We start from the raw sequence: 22,620 nt of genomic DNA on the forward strand, positions 1-22,620 counted from the left end.
GGGCTTCAGTACCACCTCTGCGTGTCGGGGACCCTGGTGTCTACGGGGGTCACAGCAGGTCGGACCCGTGGGTTTAACTCCAAGCCCCTCTGAGACCCGACAACCCCTCCCTCCCCCAGTTTAGCTGCTCAAGCCTGGAGAGGTTGAGGCAGTGCCCAAGGTCATACAGGAGAGAGATTCGAATCCTGAGCTCCCGACTGCTCAGGGGACCCCAGACCCCATCCAGCCCCTCAAGTGCTTCCAAGCTGCTTCCCCCGCCCACCGCCCCCAAATTTGAATCCTGTCGCAACCATCAGCTGTGTCCTTGGGAAAGTTGTATCCCCTCCCTGATCCACAGCTTCCTCATTCATTGCCAAGTGGCGTCAAAAGTCAAAACCCTCCCATGCCACAGGGAGGAGTCTCCCGTGTCTTTGATGTTCTCAAGTCGTCGGCACCTCCAGCCAGCATTGGAGGCTCTTCTCTGACCTCTCCTCACCCACTCCCATGCACAGCCCGCCGGGTCCCAGGAGACGCTGAGCAAAAGCCCTGTGGGGTTTTTTGTGTTTCTTTTTAAAGAGTCAAGGTCTCTCACTCTGTCACCCAGGCTGGAGTGCAGTTGTGCGAACACAGCTCGCGGCTCACAGCCTCAAGCTCCTGGTTCCCAGCCTCAAGCAGTCCTCTCATCTCAGCCTTTAGAGTCACTGGATTACGGGTGTGTGTCACCATGTCCAGCTAATTATTTTTAAATTTTTTTAGAAACAAGATCTTGCCGAGTGCAGTGGCTCACACCTGTAATTCCAGCACTTGGGGAAGCCAAGGCAGGCAGATCACTTGAGGTCAGGAGTTTGAGACCAGCCTGGCCAACATGGTAAAACCTGGTCTCCACTAAAAATACAAAAAAAAATTAGCCAGACATGGTGGCGCATGCCTGTAATCCCAGCTACTTGGGAGGCTGAGATAGGAAGATCAGATGAACCTGGGAGGTCAACGCTGCACCAAGCCAAGATCGTGCCACTGTTCTCCAGCCTGGGTGACAGAGTGAGACTCTGTCTCAAGAAAAAAAAAAAAAAAAAGGGTCTTGCCCTTTTCCAGGTGGGTCTCAAACTCCTGGCCTCTAGTGATCCTCCCACCTCAGCCTCCCTGAGTCGCGTAAGCCACCACGCGTGGCCTCATGGCGTCTTTGACTTGGACTCCTGTTTACCACCCTCCCCATCACACCCAGAATCCACACCCCCACTGCGACGTCATTGTCCCTTCAGCCCTCCCCAACCCTGGGGCCTCACTGTCCTTGTCTGTTTTGTACAGCCACCTCTCAAGGCCCAACAAGGCTGAACCTGGGGCAAGTGCAGAAAGAAACCTCCACTCTGACCCAGTCTACTGCTGGGACCTTGGGACAGGACCTGCCTCCCTTAGCCTCAGAGCCCCCTAGCCTTGCCAGGCACTGTCCCTGCCATGTGTCCTGTCTGGAGATAACCCATAAATAACTCCAGCCCAGATTGTGCCTCTCACTGCATAGGTGCTCACAGGAGAAAGGTTGCCATCTTTATGATCCCAGCTATGCTGAGCTGGGGGTGGAAGAGAATATCCCGTGTGGTCTCTAAAAACACTCAACCACTGGCTGTGTGTCCTTGGCAAAATAGCCTTCCCTCTCTGATCAGCCATTTATTTGTTACCAGCTGGAGTCAGTAGCACCTACCCCCAGCCCCAACTGGATGCTTCTGAGGGTTCAATGATAAAATGGGTTGTAGGCCCACTCTATGCCTGGCACCAAGCCAGAGAGCAATACATTGTAGGGTTACATTTATGATTTCTTCCAATAGGGCTGGTGCCTGGTAACTACTGGAAAAATTGTAGCAATTATATTTATGGTTATTTCTTCAATCCCACCCGGCATAGGGTAAGCACCAAAGTTGGGGTGGTGAGTCTTGGGGAGCCTTTGCCAACGGTTTGGTCGTCTGAGGGATGGGCTCGGGGACCATCCAGCCACTGGGACTTCAGAGAAGCTCCGGCTCCCAAACCAGCTACTGTGTGTGTGGCCAGGGTCTTCCCCACAACTAGAGGGGGGCACAGCTGGGGACTCAGGTATATCTTCCAGCTGGGTGTGGGACATTTTCTTCCCTAGGATCCGATGTGTCTTGCCCTGAATGTAAGGCCTGGCAGGGTTGGAATGTCTCAGTTATTCCCCCAACACTCCAGCCTCCATCTGGGCCTTTTTTCCAGGCTATTCTCTCTGCCTTCACTGTTGGGGCCACTGTCCTGTGTAGGCACCAAGGCCTGACCATGCCATCCAGAAGCCCCAGCCTGGGACAACTCTCCCCCACCTGCCTCTGAGCCCTCCATGGTGACTCTTGTTCCCCAAACCTTATCCTTCTCCCCATTACACAGAAGGGAAAGCTGAGGCTCTGTCACTCAAATCCAAAGCCAGGTGGACTCCAAGCCACCCCACCCCTATCCCAGACAGCACAGGCTGCCTCTCTCCCCCATGGGCGTCCCTTGAAGGCCAGGTTGCCCCCCACCCCCCACAAGCCTTGAACGATGAAAAGAAGGAAGGCCAGTTCTCTTCACCCCAAGCCAGAAGTGGGGCTGGGTGGGTACCCTAGAGAAATGACACGCCACTCCCTGCGCCAGCTTCTGCTTTCCGGCGTGGCTGTGGTCAAGCCTGAGTCAGTCCCACGGGACCACGGTGAGGGGTCTGGAGCGTCGGGGTCAGGAGTTTGAGGGGGGAAGGGTTGAGGGGCAGGATGTGGGGGTTGGGTGTGAGGGAGGTCACGGGCGAGACTGGAGGGAGGAGACCTGGCCACACAGGCCTTGCCCACTCTCGGGGGCCTGAATATTTCAGTTACTCCCCCAAAACCCCGGCCTCCATCCCATCCCCAGCCTCCATCCGACGTCACCCCTGTTAGGTCACAGGCCCACTCTGAGAGTGGGTCTCGGGCCTCAAGTCCCCTAGCCGCCCCTAGAAGGTCTAGGGGTGCGTGGAGACACCACCATTCCTCTCAGCCTGTGTCTGTCTCAAAGGCCCCACCTCACCTCCCCTAAAGGTAGTCTTGCGCCAGGGCTCACGTGCCTGGGCAGGGCTGATTGCCAAGGGGCCCAATGGCCTCGTGACTGGGGACCCAGCACCTGGCAGGGGTGGGGGTGGGACACTCAGAGGAAGGAGTGGAGGAGGGAGAGACGCTGGCCCGGGACCCGAGGGGCGTGGGCATCGGGAGGCGGGCCCGGGTTAGGGGCGGGACCGCCGCCTGGTTAAAGGCGCTTATTTCCCAGGCAGCCGCTGCAGTCGCCACACCTTTGCCCCTGCTGCGATGACCCTGTCGCCACTTCTGCTGTTCCTGCCACCGCTGCTGCTGCTGCTGGACGTCCCCACGGCGGCGGTGCAGGCGTCCCCTCTGCAAGCGTTAGACTTCTTTGGGAATGGGCCACCAGTTAACTACAAGGTAGGGACGGCGACAGGGCGGGCAGGCTGGAGGGAACAGGCGCCCTGTCGGGGCACGCGGCTCCTTCTTTCTCCCCAGACTTCACAGGGGAAGACCAGGGCCCCGAGGGGACGCTGTCCCTGCCGGGTTCCTGGAAAAACCCTGTTCAGTTCCCGGCGCTGCGGCCACACTCCCTCCGTGCCGTTTCGCTTTCGCATCCCGCATCTGAGAGGCGCAGCTGCCTCCACCCGCCTAGTCCCGCCCAAGGGTTCAATGAGCGCCTACTGTGTACTTTTGGGGCAGGAGCTGGGGTCTCCTTTTGTGGCCCAGGGCACAAGTTCAGCAGCTGGCCAAGGGCCGCCGGCATGCATTCTTGCTGCTACCCTTGATGCATTCATTCCAGCCAGGGCAGGGCTCGCGTGTCTTTGGGACCTATTAGGCAGATGCCCTAGAGGCTGAGCGACTTGCTCACCGCTCCAGCGACATGGGCCACCCGCCACCCCTCAGCTGAAGCCGGAAGTCAGCACCTATTAGGTGCCGCCTCTATTCAGTCGGACTTGGAAAGGGTTCACGTGGATCCCTTGCTCAGCTCAGAGGCAAGGTCTCCAGGTGAAGTGACAAGAAATGAGCATGGGCCAAGGCCGGAGGCGGTGGCTCATGCCTGTAATCCCAACACTTTGGAAGTCTGAGGCAGGCAGATCACGAGGTCAGGAGTTCGAGACCATTCTGGCCTACATGGAGAAACCCTGTCTCTACTAAAAATACAAAAATTAGCTGGGTGTGGTGGCATGTGCCTATAATCCCAGCTACTCAGGAGGCTGAGGCAGGACAATTGCTTGAACCAGGGAGTCGGGTGTTGCAGTGAGCCGAGATCGTGCCGCAGCACACCAGCCTAGCGACAGTGAGACTCCATCTCAAAAAAAAAAAAAAAAGTCTCAAAGTCAAGATTCCACCTGGCAAGTTCTGGAAGGCGTGCAAGATGAATTGCGTATCACAGCCCCCTTTCTACAAGACTACCAAGTGGGGTTGAGAGAAGTGGGGAACTGCCCAGGGCTACACCTGCCTCCCACGCCTTCCTAATCCACAGACAGGCAATCTATACCTGCGGGGGCCCCTGAAGAAGTCCAATGCACCGCTTGTCAATGTGACCCTCTACTATGAAGCACTGTGCGGTGGCTGCCGAGCCTTCCTGATCCGGGAGCTCTTCCCAACATGGCTGTTGGTCATGGAGATCCTCAATGTCACGCTGGTGCCCTACGGAAACGCACAGGTGTGTGGGCGCTGGGGAAACTGAGGCACGTGGGCAGGGGAGCAGGGGACCCAGCCTACCAGCAGGCTCTCACCCTGCTGCCTTGCAGGAACAAAATGTCAGTGGCAGGTGGGAGTTCAAGTGCCAGCATGGAGAAGAGGAGTGCAAATTCAACAAGGTGGAGGTGAGCGGCCCCAGGGCCCCACACTGGGGTGGGGGAAAACTGTCCCACGTACAGGAGGCAAATACGAGGATGCCAGCTCTGTCTTCTGCCTCGTGTGCTCCCATTTAATCACATCTTTATTCCCTATCTCCTGGGTGGGTACTGGTGATTATTACGAGAGGGTGTCAGGGTACCCTAGGCCCTCTTCATGCCCTCTCCTGCCCCCTCTCCAAACCCCAGGCCTGCGTGTTGGATGAACTTGACATGGAGCTAGCCTTCCTGACCATTGTCTGCATGGAAGAGTTTGAGGACATGGAGAGAAGTCTGCCACTAGTGAGTGACGCCCCTCACTCCACCCAAGGAGGGGGACATGGGTGGTAACCTTCCCTGCATCCAGGCAGACCCAAATTCAAGTCCTAGCCCTGACCACTGCTGTCTGTGCAGCCCAGGAAAACAACTACCCTTCTTTATTTTATTTATTTTTTTATTTTTTCTTGAGACAGAGTCTCGCTCTGTCGCCCAGGCTGGAATGCAGTGGCGCAATCCCAGCTCACTGCAACCTCCACCTCCAGGGTTCAAGTGATTCTCCAGCCTCAGCCTCCTGAGTAGCTGGGATTACAGTTGTGTGCCACCATGCCCAGCTAATTTTTGTGTTTTTAGTAGAGACAGGGTTTCACCATGTTGGTCAGGCTTGTCTTGAACTCCTGACCTTGTGATCCGCCTGCCTTGGCCTCCCAAAGTGCTGGGATTACAGGCGTGAGCCACCGCACCCAGCCCTTTTTTTTTTTTTTTTTTTTTTTTTTTTTTTGAGACAGGGTTTTGCTCTGTCGCCCAGGCTGGAGTGCAGTGGTGCAATCTTGGCTGACTGCAACCACTGTCTCCTCAGTTTAAGTGATCCTCCTGCCTCAGCTTCCCCAGTAGCTGGGACTACAGGTGTGCACCACCATGCCCGGCTAATTTTTGTATTTTTAGTAGAGACAGTGTTCACCATGTTGGCCAGGCTGGTCTCAAACTCCTGACCTCAAGTTATCCGCCTGTCCCAGCCTCCCAAAGGATTACAGGTGTAAGCCACCACGCCCGGCCCCAGCCTCCCCTCTTGAAGCCTCCATCTCTGAATCAGGGGAATGAATGCAGGTCTCTTAGGAGCATGAGTGATCACAGAGGACTTACTGGAGGAGGCATTTCTGAGCTGGGCATGGAAGGATGAGCAGGAATGTGCAGAGACACAGATGATGGGATGTGGAGATGATAGGACAGACCCCACCTACTTCCCCGGGGGATTGTGAAGAATGACTCCCAGAGAAGTGACTCATTGGCTCCAATCATTTATTCATTCATCAAACATCCGGGTCACCCAAGAGGCCTCACCTAGTGACACCCTAGTCCTGCAGGGTTAGATCAGGGCTGAGAGAGTGGCAAGGAGAGGGCACTGAGGAGACACTGTGGAAGGAGGATGAAGGGTGTTCCTGGCAGAGGGATCAGCCTGTGTGGAGGTCCTGAGTAAAGTGAGATACTATGGGGGTCAGAGGCAGTGGGTCTGGTCTTAGGGATGAAACCAAGGGAGCTAGGAGGCAGGAGCAGCCCAAGCCCTGCCTTAGGGGCCTCCACTCAAGCATGTATTGAGCACCTGCTGTTTGTGGGCTTTGTCGCATCACTGTGAAGCCAACTGTACCCTCTTCTCAGTGACGAAACAGGCTTGGCTCAGGGCTGGTGGGCGGGACCGTTGAGATAACGGGGAGGAAGCTGAGGCAACCCCCTGCTCCCCACCCACCCAGTGCCTGCAGCTCTACGCCCCAGGGCTGTCGCCAGACACTATCATGGAGTGTGCAATGGGGGACCGCGGCATGCAGCTCATGCACGCCAACGCCCAGCGGACAGATGCTCTCCAGCCACCACACGAGTATGTGCCCTGGGTCACCGTCAATGGGGTAAGAATCTTTTTAGCCCTCAGCTTGACACTCATAGTCCCATGGAGTCAGGGATGGACAAGACAGAGGGACCAGAGATAAAGGAACCCAGGCGGAGGTTGCAGTGAGCTGAGATCATGCCACTGCACTCCAGCCTGGGCAACAAGAGCAAAACTTGATAGCTTTGCATAGGGAAAGAGGGCATTGATGCTGGGGTTTTGAAAGGTGAGTAGGAGTCCATCAGGCAAAAAAAGTATGTATTAATTCGAAGTATTAAACATCCCTAGCCACCCCCATTGGGAAAGATGTGCCACTGATTTGCGAGGCGGGAGGCGGGGGCCAGACTTGGGAATATGTGCAGCCCTTTCTGGGCTGGAACCAGGGTGCATGGGTTGGGGTAGCTGCTGGGAATATGCGACCCCTGTCTTGCTTTGTGCAGAAACCCTTGGAAGATCAGACCCAGCTCCTTACCCTTGTCTGCCAGTTGTACCAGGTAAGCTGGGAGGGGAGCAGTGGGATTCAGGTGGTGGGGGTAGGGTCTCCTTCCAGGACCCCAACTCATGGCCTTCACCTCCAGGGCAAGAAGCCGGATGTCTGCCCTTCCTCAACCAGCTCCCTCAGGAGTGTTTGCTTCAAGTGATGGCCGGTGAGCTGCGGAGAGCTCATGGAAGGCGAGTGGGAACCCGGCTGCCTGCCTTTTTTTCTGATCCAGACCCTCGGCACCTGCTACTTACCAACTGGAAAATTTTATGCATCCCATGAAGCCCAGATACACAAAATTCCACCCCATGATCAAGAATCCTGCTCCACTAAGAATGGTGCTAAAGTAAAACTAGTTTAATAAGCCCTTCTGGATGGTGTAATTAATTTGATAAGTCAGCCATTCCCCCTTCCCCAGGCCTGGCAAAACCCGCTCTCTACTAAAAATACAAAAATTAGCCAGGCGCGGTGGCGGGCGCCTGTAATCCCAGCTACTTGGGAGGCTGAGGCAGGAGAATTGCTTGAACCCGGCAGGCAGAGGTTGCAGTGAGCCGAAATCGCGCCACTGTGCTCCAGCCTGGGCGACAAGAGCAAAATTCCATCTCAAAATTTTAAAAAAGTGACTGGTTGTGGCCGGGTGAGGTGGCTCACGTCTATAATTCCTGCACTTTGGGAGGTCAAGGTAGGAGGATTGCTTGAGGACAGGAGTTTGACACCAGCTTTGGCATGAAAGCAAGACCCTGTCTTTACAAAACATGAAAATAAAAAGAATTAGCAGGACATGGCAGCGAGCAACTGTGGTACTCGGGAGGCTGAGGCAGGAGGATCACTTGAGCACAGGAGGTCAAGGCTGCAGTGAGCCATAATTACACCACTGCACTGCAGCCTGGGCCAGAGAGCAAGACTCTGCCTCTTTTTTTTTTTTTTTTTTTTTTTTTTTTTGAGACGGAGTTTCGCTCTTGTTGCCCAGGCTGAAGGGAAACGCGTGATCTCGGTTCACCACAACCTCTGCCTCTTCAGTTCAAGCGATTCTCCTGCCTCAGCCTCCTGAGTAGCTGGGATTACAGACACATGCCACCACGCCCAGCTAATTTTGTGTTTTTAGTAGAGACAGGGTTCTTCCATGTTGGTCAGGCTAGTCTCGAACTCCTGACCTCATGATCCATCTGTCTCGGCCTCCCAAAGTGCTGGGATTACAGGCGAAAGCCACCACACCCAGCCAAGACTCTGCCTTTTAAAAGAAAAAGAAGGGAAAGAACATGTTCAGTGTTGTATTTTTTCCTACTGATGGACTGGTCAAATCATAGATGTATATATTCTTCCTTCGAGGAAGTGAGGCTTAATTCCACTCCCTACAAATATCTTTGTTTCTCTTTATTTTGAGATGGAGTCTAGCTGTGTTGCCCAGGCTGGTCTCAAACTCGTGGGCTCAAGCGATCCTTCTTGAGGATCCTGAAGTGCTGCGATTATAGACGTGAGCCAGCGTGCCGGGCCCTACAACCACCTTGACAGTGAACTAGATTGAGTAACTTGATTCCAAAGAGTAGAACAGGAAAAGTGAAAAAGAATACCCCGGCTGTGCGCGGTGGCTCAAACCTGTAATCACAGCACTTTGGGAGGCTGAGGTGGGTGGATCACTTGAGGTCAGGAGTTCAAGACCAGCCTGGCCAACATGGCGAAACCCTGTCTCTACTAAAAATACAAAAATTAGGCTGGATGCGGTGTCTCACACCTGTAATCCCAGCACTTTGGGAGGCCCAGGCAGGCAGATCACCTAAGGTCAGAAGTTTGAGACCAGCCTGGCAAACATGGCAAAACCCTGTCTCTACTAAAAAATACAAAAGTTGGTCAGGCGCGGTGGCTCACGCCTGTAATCTCAGCACTTTGGGAGGCCGAGGCGGGTGGATCACAAGGTCAGGAGATCAAGTCCATCCTGGCTAACACGGTGAAACCCCGTCTCTACTAAAAATACAAAAAACTAGCTGGGCGTGGTGGCAGGCACCTGTAGTCCCAGCTACTCGGGAGGCTGAGGCAGGAAAATGGCGTGAACCTGGGAGGCGGAGCTTGCAGTGAGCCAAGATCATGCCACTGTACTCCAGCCTGGGCGACAGAGCAAGACTCTGTCTCAAAAAAAAAAATTTAAAAAATACAAAAGTTAGCCATGCGTGGTGGTGCACGCCTGTAATCCCAGCTACTCCAGAGGCTGAGATGGGAGAATGGCTTGAACCCGGGAGGCAGGGGTTGCAGTGAGCCGAGATCACGCCACTGCTCTCCAGCCTGGGCAACAGAGAGAGACCCCATCTCAAAATAAATAAATAAATAAATACAAATCATCAAGTAGCAAAGGTGGCATGTTTTGAGGTGGCACGTCCTGAACTTCCTCATTCCCTGGCTGAATTGGTGGTGGAGAGAAATTCAGGGTAGAAGTTCTGAAGTAACACATCTACAGAAGGGGTAGAAAAAGACAGATTAGAACAAATAGAAAGGAATAAATATAAGCACACTATGCCAGATATTGTCGAATCAGTATCTTTGTCCTGAGAATAGGTTAGCTTGGTTACACACTTGTATCTCATTTTATTTTATTTATTTATTTATTTTTTGAGACGGAGTTTCGCTCTTGTTACCCGGGCTGGAGTGCAATGGCATGATCGTGGTCTTGGCTCACCACAACCTCCACCTCTGGAGTTCGAGCGATTCTCTTGCCTCAGCCTCCCAAGTAGCTGGAATTACAGGCATGCGCCACCACACCCAGCTAATTTTGTATTTTTTTTTTTTTTTTTGAGACGGAGTTTTGCTCTTGTTGACCAGGCTGGAGTGCAATGGCATGATCTCGGCTCACTGCAACCTCCGCCTCCCAGGTTCAAGCAATTCTCCTGCCTCAGCCTCCCGAGTAGCTGGGATTACAGGCATGCACCATCATGCCCGGCTAATTTGTTGTATTTTTAGTAGAGACGGGGTTTCTCCAAGTCGAGGCTGGTCTCGAACTCCTGACCTCAGGTGATCCGCCCGCCTCGGCCTCCCAAAGTGCTGGGATTACAGGCGTGAGCCACCGCGCCCAGCAATTTTGTATTTTTAGTAGAGACGGGGTTTCACCATGTTGGCCAGGATCGTCTCCAACTCCCGACCTCAAGTGATCTGCCTACCTCGGCCTCCCAAAGTGCTGGGATTACAAGTATGAGCCACTGCACCCAGCCTTGTGTCTCATTTTAGAAGGTGGTGGCTTAGGAGGGAGTTGGGAACCTATCTAAGTTAGGTCTCTAAATGGTGTGAGCAATCAGGCATTTAATGAGCATTTCTTCTTTCTCTCTCTCTCTGTCTCCCCACCCTCACTTTCCTTCCTTCCCTTTTTTTTTTTTTTTTTTTTTTTTTTTGAGACAGAGTCTCGCTTTGTCACCCATGCCGGAAAGCAGTGGTGCAATCTCAGCTCACTGCAGCCTCCACCTTCTGGGCTCAACCAGAGTAGCTGGGACTAAAGGCATATGCCACCATGCCTGGCTAATTTTTTTTTTTCCCGTTTGAGACGGAGTCTCACTCTGTCGCCCAGCCTGGAGTGCAGTGGCACATTCTGAGCTCACTGCAACCTCCACCTCCCAGGTTCAAGAGAGTCTCCTGCCTCAGCCTCCCGAGTAGCTGGGACTACAAGCGGGTGCTACCACACCTGGCTATTTTTTTTTTTTTAGTAGAGATGGGGTTTCATCGTGTTAGCCAGGATGGTCTCGATCCCCTGACCTCATGATCCACCCGCCTCAGCCTCCTAAAGTGCTGGGATTACAGGCGCAAGCCACCGCGCCCAGCCACACCTGACTAATTTTTGTATTGGTAGTGGAGACGGGGTTTCGCCATGTTGCTCAAACTGGTCTCAAAGTCCTGGACTCGAGCGATCTGTCCGCCTTGGCCTCCCAAAGTGCTGGGATTACAGGCGTGAGCCACTGCGCCCAGCTCTTCCTTTCCTACTCTACAGGATCTGGCTCTGTTGCCCAGGCTGGAGTGCAGTGGCACAATCATAGCTCACTGCAGCCATGACCTCCTGGACTCAAGCAATCCTCCTGCCTCAGCCTCTTAAGTCGCTGGGACTACAGGCTGGAGTGCAGTGGCGCGATCTTGGCTCACTGCAACCTCCACCTCCCAGGTTCAAGTGATTCTCTTGCCTCAGCCTCCCAAGTAGCTGGGATTACAGGCACATGCCACCACACCCAAGTGATTTTTATATTTTTAGTAGAGACAGGGTTTCACCATTTGGACCAGGCTGGTCTTGAACTCCTGACCTCGTGATCCACCCGCCTCAGCCTCTCAAAGTGCTGGGATTACAGGCATGAGCCACTGCGCCCCACCCCGAAGTTCACATTTACAAACAGATTTTGAAAACAATATTTAAGCAGGCATACTATAAAACATAATTATTGTTGAAAAGCTTATTTACAAGCTTTCATCTCACTTTCATTTAACTTACTTGTGTTCAACAATTATGCTTAATTACTCATGAACATTTCATAAAACATTGAAAAAATAATCATCATCTTAAGTTACTTTTCTTGTTGACAAATCAAGTATCAAAAATCAAAGAAGCAAAGAACCTAAAAAAATAAATATATGGGACGCAGCACCATGGCTCACACCTGTAATCCCAGCACTTTGGGAGGCCACGGTGGGAGGATCACTGGAGACCAGGAGTTCAAGACCAGCCTGGCCAACACAGTGAGATCCCATCTCTATAAAAAATACAAAAATTGGCCAGGCGTGGTGGCTCGTGCCTGTAATCCCAGCACTTTGGGAGGCTGAGGCGGGCAGATCACCTGAGGTCGGGAGTTCAAGACCAGCCTGACCAACATGGAGAAACCCCATCTCCATTAAAAATACATTAGCTGGGTGTGGTGGTGGTAGCTCTAATCCCAGCTACTCGGGAGGCTGAGGCAGCAGAATCGCTTGAACCTGGGAGGCAGAGGTTGCGGTTAGCCGAAATCACACCATTGCACTTGAGCCTGGGCAACAAGAGCAAAACTCAATCTCAAAAAAAAAAAAAAATAGCCAGGCCTGGTGGCTCACACCTGTAATCCTAGCTACTCGGGAGGCTGAGGCATGAGAATCACTTGAACCTGGGAGGCTGCAGTGAGCTGAGATCATGCCACTGCACTCCAGCCTGGGCGACAGAGCAAGACCTTATCTCAAAAAATAACCATCCAAGGAACCAAAAAAAATTAAAAACCCACATATGGGTCTCTCCTTTACTTTTTAAAATTAATTTTATTGTCAGGCTTGACATCCATTAAGCAAATCACCTTTTTTTTTTTTTTTTTCAGACAGGGTCTCACTCTGTCACCCAGACTGGAGTGCAGTGAGGTGACATCACAGCTCACTGCAACCTCTGCCTCCAGGGCTCAAGCGATCCTCCCACCCCAGCCTCCCGAGTGTCTGGAACTACAGGCACAAGCCACAACACTCAGCTAATTTTCTATATTTTTAGTAGAGACAGCTTTTCACTATGTTACCCAGGCTGGTCTCAAACTCCTGGACTCAAGCAATCCGCCTGCCTTGGCCTCCCAGAGTGCTGGGATTGCAGGCATGAGCCACCGTGCCCACCCTCAATTCACTTCGTAAAAATTTTTTTATTTATTTTTTGAGACAGGGTCTTGTTCTGTCACCCAGGCTGGAGTGCAGTAATGTGATCACAGCTCACTGCAACCTCCATTTCCAGGGCTCAGGCGATCCTCCCTGCTCAGCCTCCCGAATAGCTGGGACAACAGGTGCGAGCCACGAGCCAGCATGCGTGGTAAATTTTTGTATTTTTTTTTTTTTTTTTTGCAGAGATGGGGTTTTGCCATGTTGCCCAGGCTGTTCTTGAACTCCTGGCTTCAAATGACCTACCTCCATCAGCCTCCCAAAGTGCTGGGATGGATGACAGATCTGAGCCACCACCTGGCCAAGCAATTCACTTTTATTGCATGTATTGTTCTTAGGTTTATTTTATAGTTTTACAGTTTACACTTTTATAATCTTCAACATCTAAAGATAACATAAGCCTGTTTGACTAGTCTTAATTTACATAAGCAAATGTGGTTTTCTAAAGTCAATGAAATAGAGCTCCTTTACAAGTTAATCTTTAGGAATTCCATCAAGAGGGAGAAAGTGTTACATACCTATAACATATATATATATAAACATAAATAGGTGCAGTCAGAAATCTTATAGCTTTCATTTTAAAATTATAGCTGTGAGACAGGTGTGATAATACAAAACTCACTAGTTTTTAAAAAAATGGTGGAGCCGGGCACAGTGGCTCACGCCTGTAATCCTAGCACTTTGAGAGGCCGAGGCAGGCAGATCATTTGAGGCCAGGGAGTTCAAGACCAGCCTGGGCAACATGGAGAAGCCCCATCTCTACTAAAAATACAAAAATTAGCCAGGCGCAGTGACTCACGCCCATAATCCCAGTACTTTGGGAGGCCGAAGTGGGCTGATCACCTCAGGTTGGGAGTTCAAGACCAGCCTGACCAACATGGAGAAACCCTGTCGCTACCAAAAATACAAAATTGGCCAGGTGTGGTGGCACATGCCTGTAGTCCCAGCTACTCGGGAGGCTGAGGCAGGAGAATCACTTGAACCCAGGAGACAGAGGTTGCAGTGAGCTGAGATCGTGCCTCTGCACTCCAGTCTGGGTGACAGAGCCAGACTCAATCTCAAAAAATATAAATAAATAAATAAGTGAGATCCAATTTGCATCTGCAGAGGCAGATGAAATGAGTTAAGATTACCTACTCAGATCATGAAAGCTTTGTGCTAACATTTGTAAAGACTGTTAAAATTTTTCACTTGCCAGTTGGTTTCCAAATTGCCCTCTGAGAACACAGTTCTGATCCATTGCAGGGGAGCCCCAAATTTTGGGCTTAGCCCAGGAGGGCTCTTGGCTTCTTCTAGGAAAGTATCCAAGGGTGACCTGGTGGTGTTATACAGCACCTTTTTTTTTTTCCCTGAAAGAGTCTTGCTCTGTTGCCCAGCCTGGAATGCAGTGATGTGATCACAGCTCACTGCAGTCTCCAAATCCTGGGCTCTAGAATCCCCTTTGCCTCAAACTTCTGAGTAGCTGGGACTACAGGCATGCACCACCTATCCGAGCTAATTTTTTAAATTTTTGTGGAGATGGGGTCTTGCTATGTTCCCCAGGCTGGTCTCAAACTCCTGAGCTCAAGTGATCCTCCTGCTTCAGCCTCCCAAAGTGCTGGGATCACAGGTGTGAGCCATAATCCCAGCCTGATAAGAATTCGTCCTTTTCTTTTTTTTTTTTGAGACGGAGTCTGGCTCTGTTGCCCAGGCTGGAGTGCAGTGGTACTTTCTCGGCTCACTGCAACCTCCATTTCCCGGGTTCAAGCGGTTCTTCTGCCTCAGCCTCCCGATTAGCTGGGATTACAGGTGCCTGCCACTACGCCTGGATAATTTTTTTGTATTTTTAGTAGAGACGGGGTTTCACCATGTTGGCCAGGCTGGTCTTGAACTCCTGACCTCAGGTGATCCACCCACCTCGGCCTCCCAAAGTGCTGGGATTACTGGTGTGAGTCACCGTGCCAGCCTTTTTTTTTTTTTTTTTTTTTTTCTGAGACAAAGTCTCACTCTGTTGCCCAGGCTGGAATTCAGTGGTGCTATCTCAGCTCACTGAAACCCCAGCTTCCCAGGTTTCAGTGATTCTCCTGCCTCAGACTCCCGAGTAACTGGGACTACAGGCACACACCACCACACTCAGCTAATTTTGCTATTTTTTGGTAGAGATGGGGTTTCACCGTGTTGGCCAGACTGGTCTTGATCTCCTGACCTCAAGTAATCCACCCACCTCAGCCTCTCAAAAAGCTGGGATTACAGGCATGAGCCACCGCGTCCGGCTGAATTCTTACTTTGCATTGGCTTGTCAGGTCCCAGCATTTCTCCCCTGCAGACCCCAGAGGGAGCAGATATTCCCAGCCAATTGTAGCCCATCCTCATCACCAGAAACTAGCAGGGCTAGAGCTTTCCTCCTCTCTCTGGTGTCTGGCTCAGACTGACAGACAGATTAACAAAACAATAGCACACAAAGCTTATTCATTGTAGATGGGAGCCCTCACGAGAAAAATGGAGACCGAAAAAAGTAACTAGACCTAAGTGTTTGTTTTGAGACAGGGTCTTGCTGTGTCATCCAGACTGGAGTGCAGTAGCGGGATCACAGCTCACTGAAGCCTTGACCTCTCAGGCCCAAGCAATCCTCCTGTCTCAGCCTCCCAAGTAGTTGGGACTAGAGTTGCACACCACCACACCTGGCTAATTTTTTAAAAATTTTGGCCGGGCACGGTAGCTCATGCCTGTAATCCCAGTACTTTGTGAGGCAGAGGCTGGGGGATCACCTGAGGTCAGGAGTTCAAGACCAGCCTGGCCAACATGATAAAACCCGTCTCTAGTAAAAATACAAAAATTAGCCAGGCGTGGTGGCGGGCGCCCATAATCCTAGCTACTTGGGAGGCTGAGGCAGGAGAATCACTTGAACCTGGGTGGCGGAGGTTGCAGTGAGCTGAGATCGCGCCACTGCACTCCAGCCTGGGCAACAGAGTGAGACTCCTTCTCAAAAATAAAGAAAAAATAAAAAGATAGATCACAGAGCCCTTCTGGGCTGGCTGCGGTGGTTCGTGCCTGTAATCCTAGAATTTTGGGAGGCTGAGATGGGCAGATAACTGAGGTCAGGGGATCAAGACCAGCCAGACCAACATGGCAAAACCCCGTCTCTACTAGACATACAAAAATTAGCCGGCCATGGTGGTACATGCCTGTAATCCCAGATACTTGGAAGGCTGAGATAAGAGAATCACTTGAACCCGGGAGGTGGAGGTTGCAGTGAGCCAAGATCATGCCACTGCACTCCAGACTGGGCAACAGAGTGAGACTCCCTCTCAAAAAAATAAAAAGAAGAGCCCTTCTTGCATCCACTGTTTGCAAGTGTGTTTAACTCAAAATTCTCAATATCAATATGCCAAAGTTGTATGCTGGTATGTTATGGGTGACATGTCCTGAACACTATCAACAGAAACATACAAAAATTACTGCCAGGTATCAAAAGCTGCTCTTCCTGGGAAGCAATAAAGTATCTTTTGTTTTTCTGTTTTTGAGACAGAGCCTGGCTCTGTCGCCCAGGCTGGAGTGCAATGACAAGATCTCGGCTCACTGCAACCTTTGCCTCCCGGGTTCAAGTGATTCTCCCGCCTCAGCCTCCCATGTAGCTGGGATTACAGGCACCCGCCATCATGCCTGGCTGATTTTTGTATTTTTAGTAGAGACGGGGTTTCACTATGTTGGCCAGGCTGGTCTTGAACTCCCGACATCAGGTGATCCGCCTGCCTCGGCCTCCCAAAGTGATGGAATTACAGCCATGACCCACCGCACCCAGCCCCATAAATTCTCTTAATTTTATTTTTTATTTTACTTTTTGAGGCAGGGTCTCGCTGTGTCATCCAGGCCAGAGTGTAGTGTCACCATCTCAGCCAGCTGAAGACTCAGCCTCTGGGACTCAAGCGATCCTCCCACGTCAGCCTCTCAAGTAGCTGGGACTACAGGTGTGCACTACCGTACCCGGATAATTTTGTTATCCGGTCTTACCATGTTACCTGGTCTTACCATGTTGCCCAGGCATCTGGGCAACTCCAACTCCTGACCTCAAGCGATCCTCCTGCATCCAGGTCCCAAATGGTAGGATTACAGGCATAAGCCACCGAGCCCGGCCAAGCAACAATTTTTTTTTTTTTTTTTGAGACAAAATCTCGCTCTGTCGCCCAGGCTGGAGTGCAATGGCATGATCTCAGCTCACTGCAAACTCCGCCTCCCAGGTTCAAGCGATTCTCCTGCCTCAGCCTCCAAGTAGCTCAGATTACAGACATGCACCACCACACCTAGCTAATTTTTGTATTTTTAGTAGAGATGGGGTTTTGCCATGTTGGCCTGACTGGCCTTGAACTCCTGACCTCAAGTGATCCACCCGCCCCAGCCTCCCAAAGTGCTCGGATTACAGGCATGAGCCACCGTGCCTGGCCAATAAATTCTTAATTTATCCACCATTGTCTCTCAGCAACCAGTAATCCATTTGTAGATTACCAAATGGTCAGCTCAATGTCAAACAAAACTATGGGAGACCACTGTTTTGGACTGAGCTCCTGCACTAGGCACCAACAGACCAGATGAAACCAGAATGGAGTCACTCGTGCTAAATGCCACATAATCAAACTGAAACTTTGAGGAAGCAGACATATCCCAAACAGATCAGTTTCTTATTTTTTTTTTTTTTAAATTTGTTTTGTAGAGATGAGGTTCTGGCCAAGTTGCCCAGGCTGGTCTTGAACTCCTGGCCTCAAGCGATCCTCCTGCCTCAGCCTCCCAAGGTGCTGGTATTATAGGCATGGTCCACTGTGCCCAGCTGTCTTTCCTAAAAATAGATTTTAGTCTACCTGGGCCGGGCACGGTGGCTCATGCCTGTAATCCCAGCACTTTGGGAGGCCGAGGTGGGCGGATCACAAGGTCAGGAGATCGAGACCATCCTGGCTAACATGGTGAAACCCCCTCTCTACTAAAAATACAAAAAATTAGCCAGGCGTGGTGGCTGGTGCCTGTGGTCCCAGCTACTGGGGAGGCTGAGGCAGGAGAATGGCGTGAGCCCGGGAGGCGGAGCTTGCAGCGAGCCGAGATCGCGCCACTGCACTCCAGCCTGGGCGACAGAGCGAGACTCTGTCTCAAAAAAAAAAGATTTTAGTCTACCTGAATTAGCCCGATAAGGAAGTCCCCTCTGCTTTAACACTTACCAAAAAAAGTAACCTGAAGTTAATCAGGTTTTTCTTTTTCTTTCTTTCTTTCTTTCTTTTTTTTTTTTTTTTTTTTTGAGATAGAGTCTAGCTCTGTCGCCAGGCTGGAGTGCAAGTGGCACGATCTTGGCTCACTGCAACCTCCACCTCCCCGGGTTCACGCCATTCTCCTGCCTCAGCCTCTCTGAGTAACTGGGACTACGGGCGCCCGCCACCACACCCGTCTAATTTTTTGTATTTTTAGTAGAGACGGGGTTTCACTGTGGTCTCGATCTCCTGACCTCATGATCCGCCCACCTCGGCCTCCCAAAGTGCTGGGATTACAGGCGTGAGCCACCGCACCGGCCTTATTATTATTATTATTTTTTAAGATATTCTGTAGTTATGGATTGGAAAAATCCATATTGTCAAAATGTCCATACTACACAAAGCAACCTACAGATTCAATGCAATTTCCATCAAAATACAATACCAATGACATTCTTCACACAAAACAGAAAGAACAGTTCTAAAAAACAGTCCTAAATTTATATGAAATCACAAAAGACCTTGAATAGCCAAAACTATCCTGAGCAAACAGAACAAAACTGGAGGAATCCCATTACCCAACATTCAATTATACTATAGATCTACAGTAACAAAAACAGCATAGTACCAGCACAAAAATAGACACATACATAAATGGAACAGAATGGAGAACCCAGAACCAAATCCATACATCTACATTGAATTCTTTTTTACTATTATTATACTTTAAGTTCTGGGATCCATGTGCAGAACGTGCAGAAGGTGCAGGTTTGTTACATAGGTATGTATACACGTGCCATGGTGGTTTGCTGCACCCATCAACCGGTCATCTACATTAGGTATTTCTCCTAATGCTGGCCGGGTGCGGTGGCTCACGCTTGTAATCCCAGCACTTTGGGAGGCCGAGGCGGGCTGATCACGAGGTCAGGAGATCGAGACCAAGGTGAAACCCCGTCTCTACTAAAAATACAAAAAATTAGACGGGCGTGGTGGCGGGCGCCTGTAGTCCCAGTTACTCGGAGAGGCTGAGGCAGGAGAATGGCGTGAACCCGGGAGGCGGAGCTTGCAGCCAGCCGAGATCGCGCCACTGCACTCCAGCCTGGATGACAGAGCGAGACTCCGTCTCAAAAAAAAAAAAAAAAAAAAGAAGTTATTTCTCCTAATGCTATCCCTCCCCTATCCCACCCTCTGACAGGTCCCGGAATGTGATGTTCCCCTCCCTGTGTCCATGTGTTCTCATTGTTCAACTCCCACTTTCTTTTTCTTTTTTTTTTTTTTTGAGACAGTCTGGCTCTGTCACCCAGGCTGGAGTGCGGTGGCGCAATCTCGGCTCACTGCAGCCTCTGCCTCCAGGGTTCAAGCGACTCCCCTGCCTCACCCTCCGGAGTAGCTGGAATCACAGGTGGGGGCCACCACACCCAGTGGTTTGTTTGTTTGTTTGTTTGTTTGTTTGTTTGTTTTTTGAGACGGAGTCTCGCCCTGTTGCCAGGCCGGAGTGCAGTGGTGAGATCTCGGCTCACTGCAACCTCCACCTCCCGGGTTCAAGCGATTCTCCTGCCTCAGCCTCTTGAGTAGCTGGGACTACAGGCGTGTGCCACCGTGCCCAGCTCATTTTTGTATTTTTAGTAGAAACGGTGTTTCACCGTGTTGACCAGATTGGTCTCAATCACTTGGCCTCATGATTCGGACGCCTTGGCCTCCCTAAGTACTGGGATTACAGGCCTGAGCCACCTCGCCCGGCATTGATCAGGTTTTTTTTGTATTGTTCTGTTTATTTGTCCCACTTTACGAAACTCACTGTTCTCCTATTGCCCAGGGGGACATGTCATTTTATCTATTCTCAGTAACTCATGCCTGTAATTCCAGCACTTTTGGATGCAAAAGTGGGCGGATTGCTTCAGTACAGTTCAAGGCTAGCCTGGGCAACATAGTGAGACCCTGTCTCTACTAAAGAGGAAAAAAAAACAAAACCTTTCTTTAAATAAAAGTTTTAAATTGGGGGAAGGAAGGAAGAAGGCTCTATCTCAAAAAAAAAATCAGAAAACCATGAAGGGTGTCCTCTGACTGGGCAAATTTTTGTTGTAAAAACCCATATTGTAGGCTGGGCATGGTGGCTCACTCTTGTAATCCCAGCACTTTGGGAGGCCGAGGCAGGTGGATTTGAGATCAGGGGTTCAAGACCAGCCTGAGTAACATGGTGAAACCCCGTCTCTACAAAACTACAAAAAATAGCTAGGCATGGCGGCGGGTGCCTGTAATCCCAGCTACTCATGAGGCTGAGGCAGGAGAATCGCTTGAACCTGGAAGGCAAATGTTGCTGTGAGCTGATATTGTGCCACTGCACTCCAGCCTGGGCAACAGAGTAAGACTCCGTCTCAAAAAAAAAAAAAAGCCATATTTCAGTTTTACTTTTTACAGGCCAACAAATGGCATGATTGTGTTTCAATGACGTTTGGCTTATTCTATGACCTGAAAATTATATGAAATGCAAATTTGTGTCCATAAGTAAAACTTTATTGAAACACAATCATGCCATTTGTTGACAAAAAGAGTGAAACTCTGTAAAATATGGGCCGGGCGCGGTGGCTCACGCCTGTAATCCCAGCACTTTGGGAGGCCGAGGCGGGCGGATCATGAGGTCAGGAGATCGAGACCATCCTGGCTAACACGGTGAAACCCTGTCTCTACTAAAAATATAAAAAATTAGCCGGGTTTGGTGGCGGGAACCTGTAGTCCCAGCTACTCGCCAGGCTGAGGCGGGAAAATGGCGTGAACCCGGGAGGTGGAGCTTGCAGTGAGCCAAGATCGCGCCACTGCACTCTAGCCTGGGCCACAGAGCGAGACTCTCTCAAAAAAAAAAAAGAAACTCCGTAAAATATTTAAAGAGGTTAATTCTGAGCCAAACGTGAGTGACCACGGCCCTAGGCACAGCCTTTTTTTTTTTTTTTTTTTTTTTTTTTTGAGACAGTCTCGCTCTGTGGCCCAGACTGGAGCTATCTCGGTTCACTGCAACCTCCACCTCTCGGGTTCAAGAGATTACCCTGCCTCAGCCTCCCGAGTGGCTGGGATTACAGGCGCCCACCACCACGCCCCTGGCTAATTTCTGTATTTTTAATAGAGATGGGGTTTTACCATGTTGGCCAGGCTGGTTTTGAATTCCTGACCTCAGGTGATCCAGCTGCCTCCGCCTCCCAAACTGTTTGGGATTACAGGCGTGAGCCACTGCGCCTGGCCAATCCCCACCTTCTTGACTGACCATTTAAAAAATGTAAGAAACACCTTTAGCTCATCATGAGCAGCACAAAACAGGCAGGGACAGGATTTGGCCCTGAGGCAGGAGAATAGGTCTGGAGGCAGGGAACATAAGGCCAAATCAAATGGAAACAATTCAGCTATGACAGGAAATATCTTCTCCATTTAAAGAGGGCATACATCCAGTAAATGACTTTGTAACTTTACTTCATCCTCTTCATTTACATAGGACGTACATTAAGTAACCAGTGAAAACCTCTAGAGGGCATTTAAACCCCAGAAAATTCTTAAACAGGTCTCTTGAGTCCGTATGCTCCACTGGCTCCCACCCTGCGGAGTGTACTTTCGTTTTCAATAAATCTCTGCTTTTGTTAAGCTTCATTCTTTCCTTGCTTTGTTTGTGCACTTTGTCCAATTCTTTGTTCAAGATGCCAAGAACCTGCACACCTTCAACAGTTAACAGCCCACAGGCAGTAGTTTGCGACTCTAGTAGAGAATGCATAGGGATTTCCATTGAAAATCATTTTTTAAGCCAGTTACGGTGGTTCACGCCTATCATCATCCCAGCACCTTGGGAGGCCAAGGCGGGTGGATCTCTTGAGGTCAGGAGTTCGAGACCAGCCTGGCTAACATGGCAAAACCCCTGTCTAGACCAAAAATACAAAATTAGTTGGGCGTGGTGGCCCGTGCCTGTAATCCCAGCTGTTTGGGAGGCTGCGACACGAGAATCGCTTGAACCCGGGAGGGAGAGGTTGCGGTGAGCCGAGATCGCGCCACCGCACTCCAGCCTGGGTGACAGAGCGAGACTCCATTTCAAAAAAAGAAAAAAAATAATTGTTCCCTACGGGAACGGTATAATTAGGATATAATTGTTTCTGGCCACAGATCACATCCCTTCTGGTTAAGTCCAGGAGAATCTGGAAATACGTAGGGCAACCAGGCCAGAAGGCGTTGTAACTGCCTAAGATTGACCAACCCTAACGCGGGAGGCGGGACGACGGTCACTGATTTGCCAGCGTGACGCCGGTCTGCGACTGGCCAGTGCCGTCCTGGGCGTGTCGGTAGGACGGGGCTGCGACGGTTTCCCATAGGCTGGCACAGAAAGGGGCGGGGAAACAAGAGTGCAACGTTACCAATCGGCATGCGGGACGTAACGCAATTCTTTTTTCCGATTGGTCCGTGAAGCTCGGGAGGTCGTTGGGGGCTCGACCTTGGGATAGAACGCCTGCCTTTTATTGGTCAATACTCTTCGGGCCGGGCAATGTGGCTCCCCGAGGCTGCCTGCGATTGGTGAACGCGTCGCGGCTCGGGGCGGACCTGCGGACTGAAGATCCTTATGCGATTG

At 50.9% G+C, this 22,620-nt stretch overlaps 1 protein-coding gene across 1 annotated transcript, besides 5 other annotated features; it reads left to right on the forward strand.

Moving 5' to 3' along the window:
• Positions 354-573: an enhancer, noted in NCBI's record as "active region_14303". NCBI's record gives its function as "activates an Ori minimal core promoter by ATAC-STARR-seq in GM12878 lymphoblastoid cells {active_cell/tissue: GM12878}" and the evidence as "EXISTENCE:reporter gene assay evidence [ECO:0000049][PMID:35858748]".
• Positions 3,001-3,310: a silencer, noted in NCBI's record as "silent region_10376". NCBI's record gives its function as "represses an Ori minimal core promoter by ATAC-STARR-seq in GM12878 lymphoblastoid cells {active_cell/tissue: GM12878}" and the evidence as "EXISTENCE:reporter gene assay evidence [ECO:0000049][PMID:35858748]".
• On the forward strand, positions 3,256-7,560 carry IFI30 (IFI30 lysosomal thiol reductase). Its single transcript, NM_006332.5, has 7 exons — positions 3,256-3,416; positions 4,483-4,665; positions 4,754-4,828; positions 5,048-5,140; positions 6,583-6,735; positions 7,154-7,207; positions 7,292-7,560. Exons 1-7 carry the CDS (start codon positions 3,285-3,287, stop codon positions 7,352-7,354), a joined length of 753 nt encoding a protein of 250 aa, NP_006323.2. The 5' UTR covers positions 3,256-3,284; the 3' UTR covers positions 7,355-7,560.
• Positions 3,621-3,690: an enhancer, noted in NCBI's record as "active region_14304". NCBI's record gives its function as "activates an Ori minimal core promoter by ATAC-STARR-seq in GM12878 lymphoblastoid cells {active_cell/tissue: GM12878}" and the evidence as "EXISTENCE:reporter gene assay evidence [ECO:0000049][PMID:35858748]".
• Positions 3,818-4,483: an enhancer, noted in NCBI's record as "H3K4me1 hESC enhancer chr19:18285185-18285850 (GRCh37/hg19 assembly coordinates)". NCBI's record gives its function as "activates a minimal SCP1, AML or CMV promoter by ChIP-STARR-seq in primed H9 embryonic stem cells {active_cell/tissue: H9 hESC(primed)}" and the evidence as "EXISTENCE:reporter gene assay evidence [ECO:0000049][PMID:30033119]".
• Positions 22,186-22,365: a silencer, noted in NCBI's record as "silent region_10377". NCBI's record gives its function as "represses an Ori minimal core promoter by ATAC-STARR-seq in GM12878 lymphoblastoid cells {active_cell/tissue: GM12878}" and the evidence as "EXISTENCE:reporter gene assay evidence [ECO:0000049][PMID:35858748]".

Source organism: Homo sapiens, chromosome 19 (genome assembly GCF_000001405.40).
Source record: "Homo sapiens chromosome 19, GRCh38.p14 Primary Assembly".
Lineage (NCBI taxonomy): Eukaryota > Metazoa > Chordata > Mammalia > Primates > Hominidae > Homo > Homo sapiens.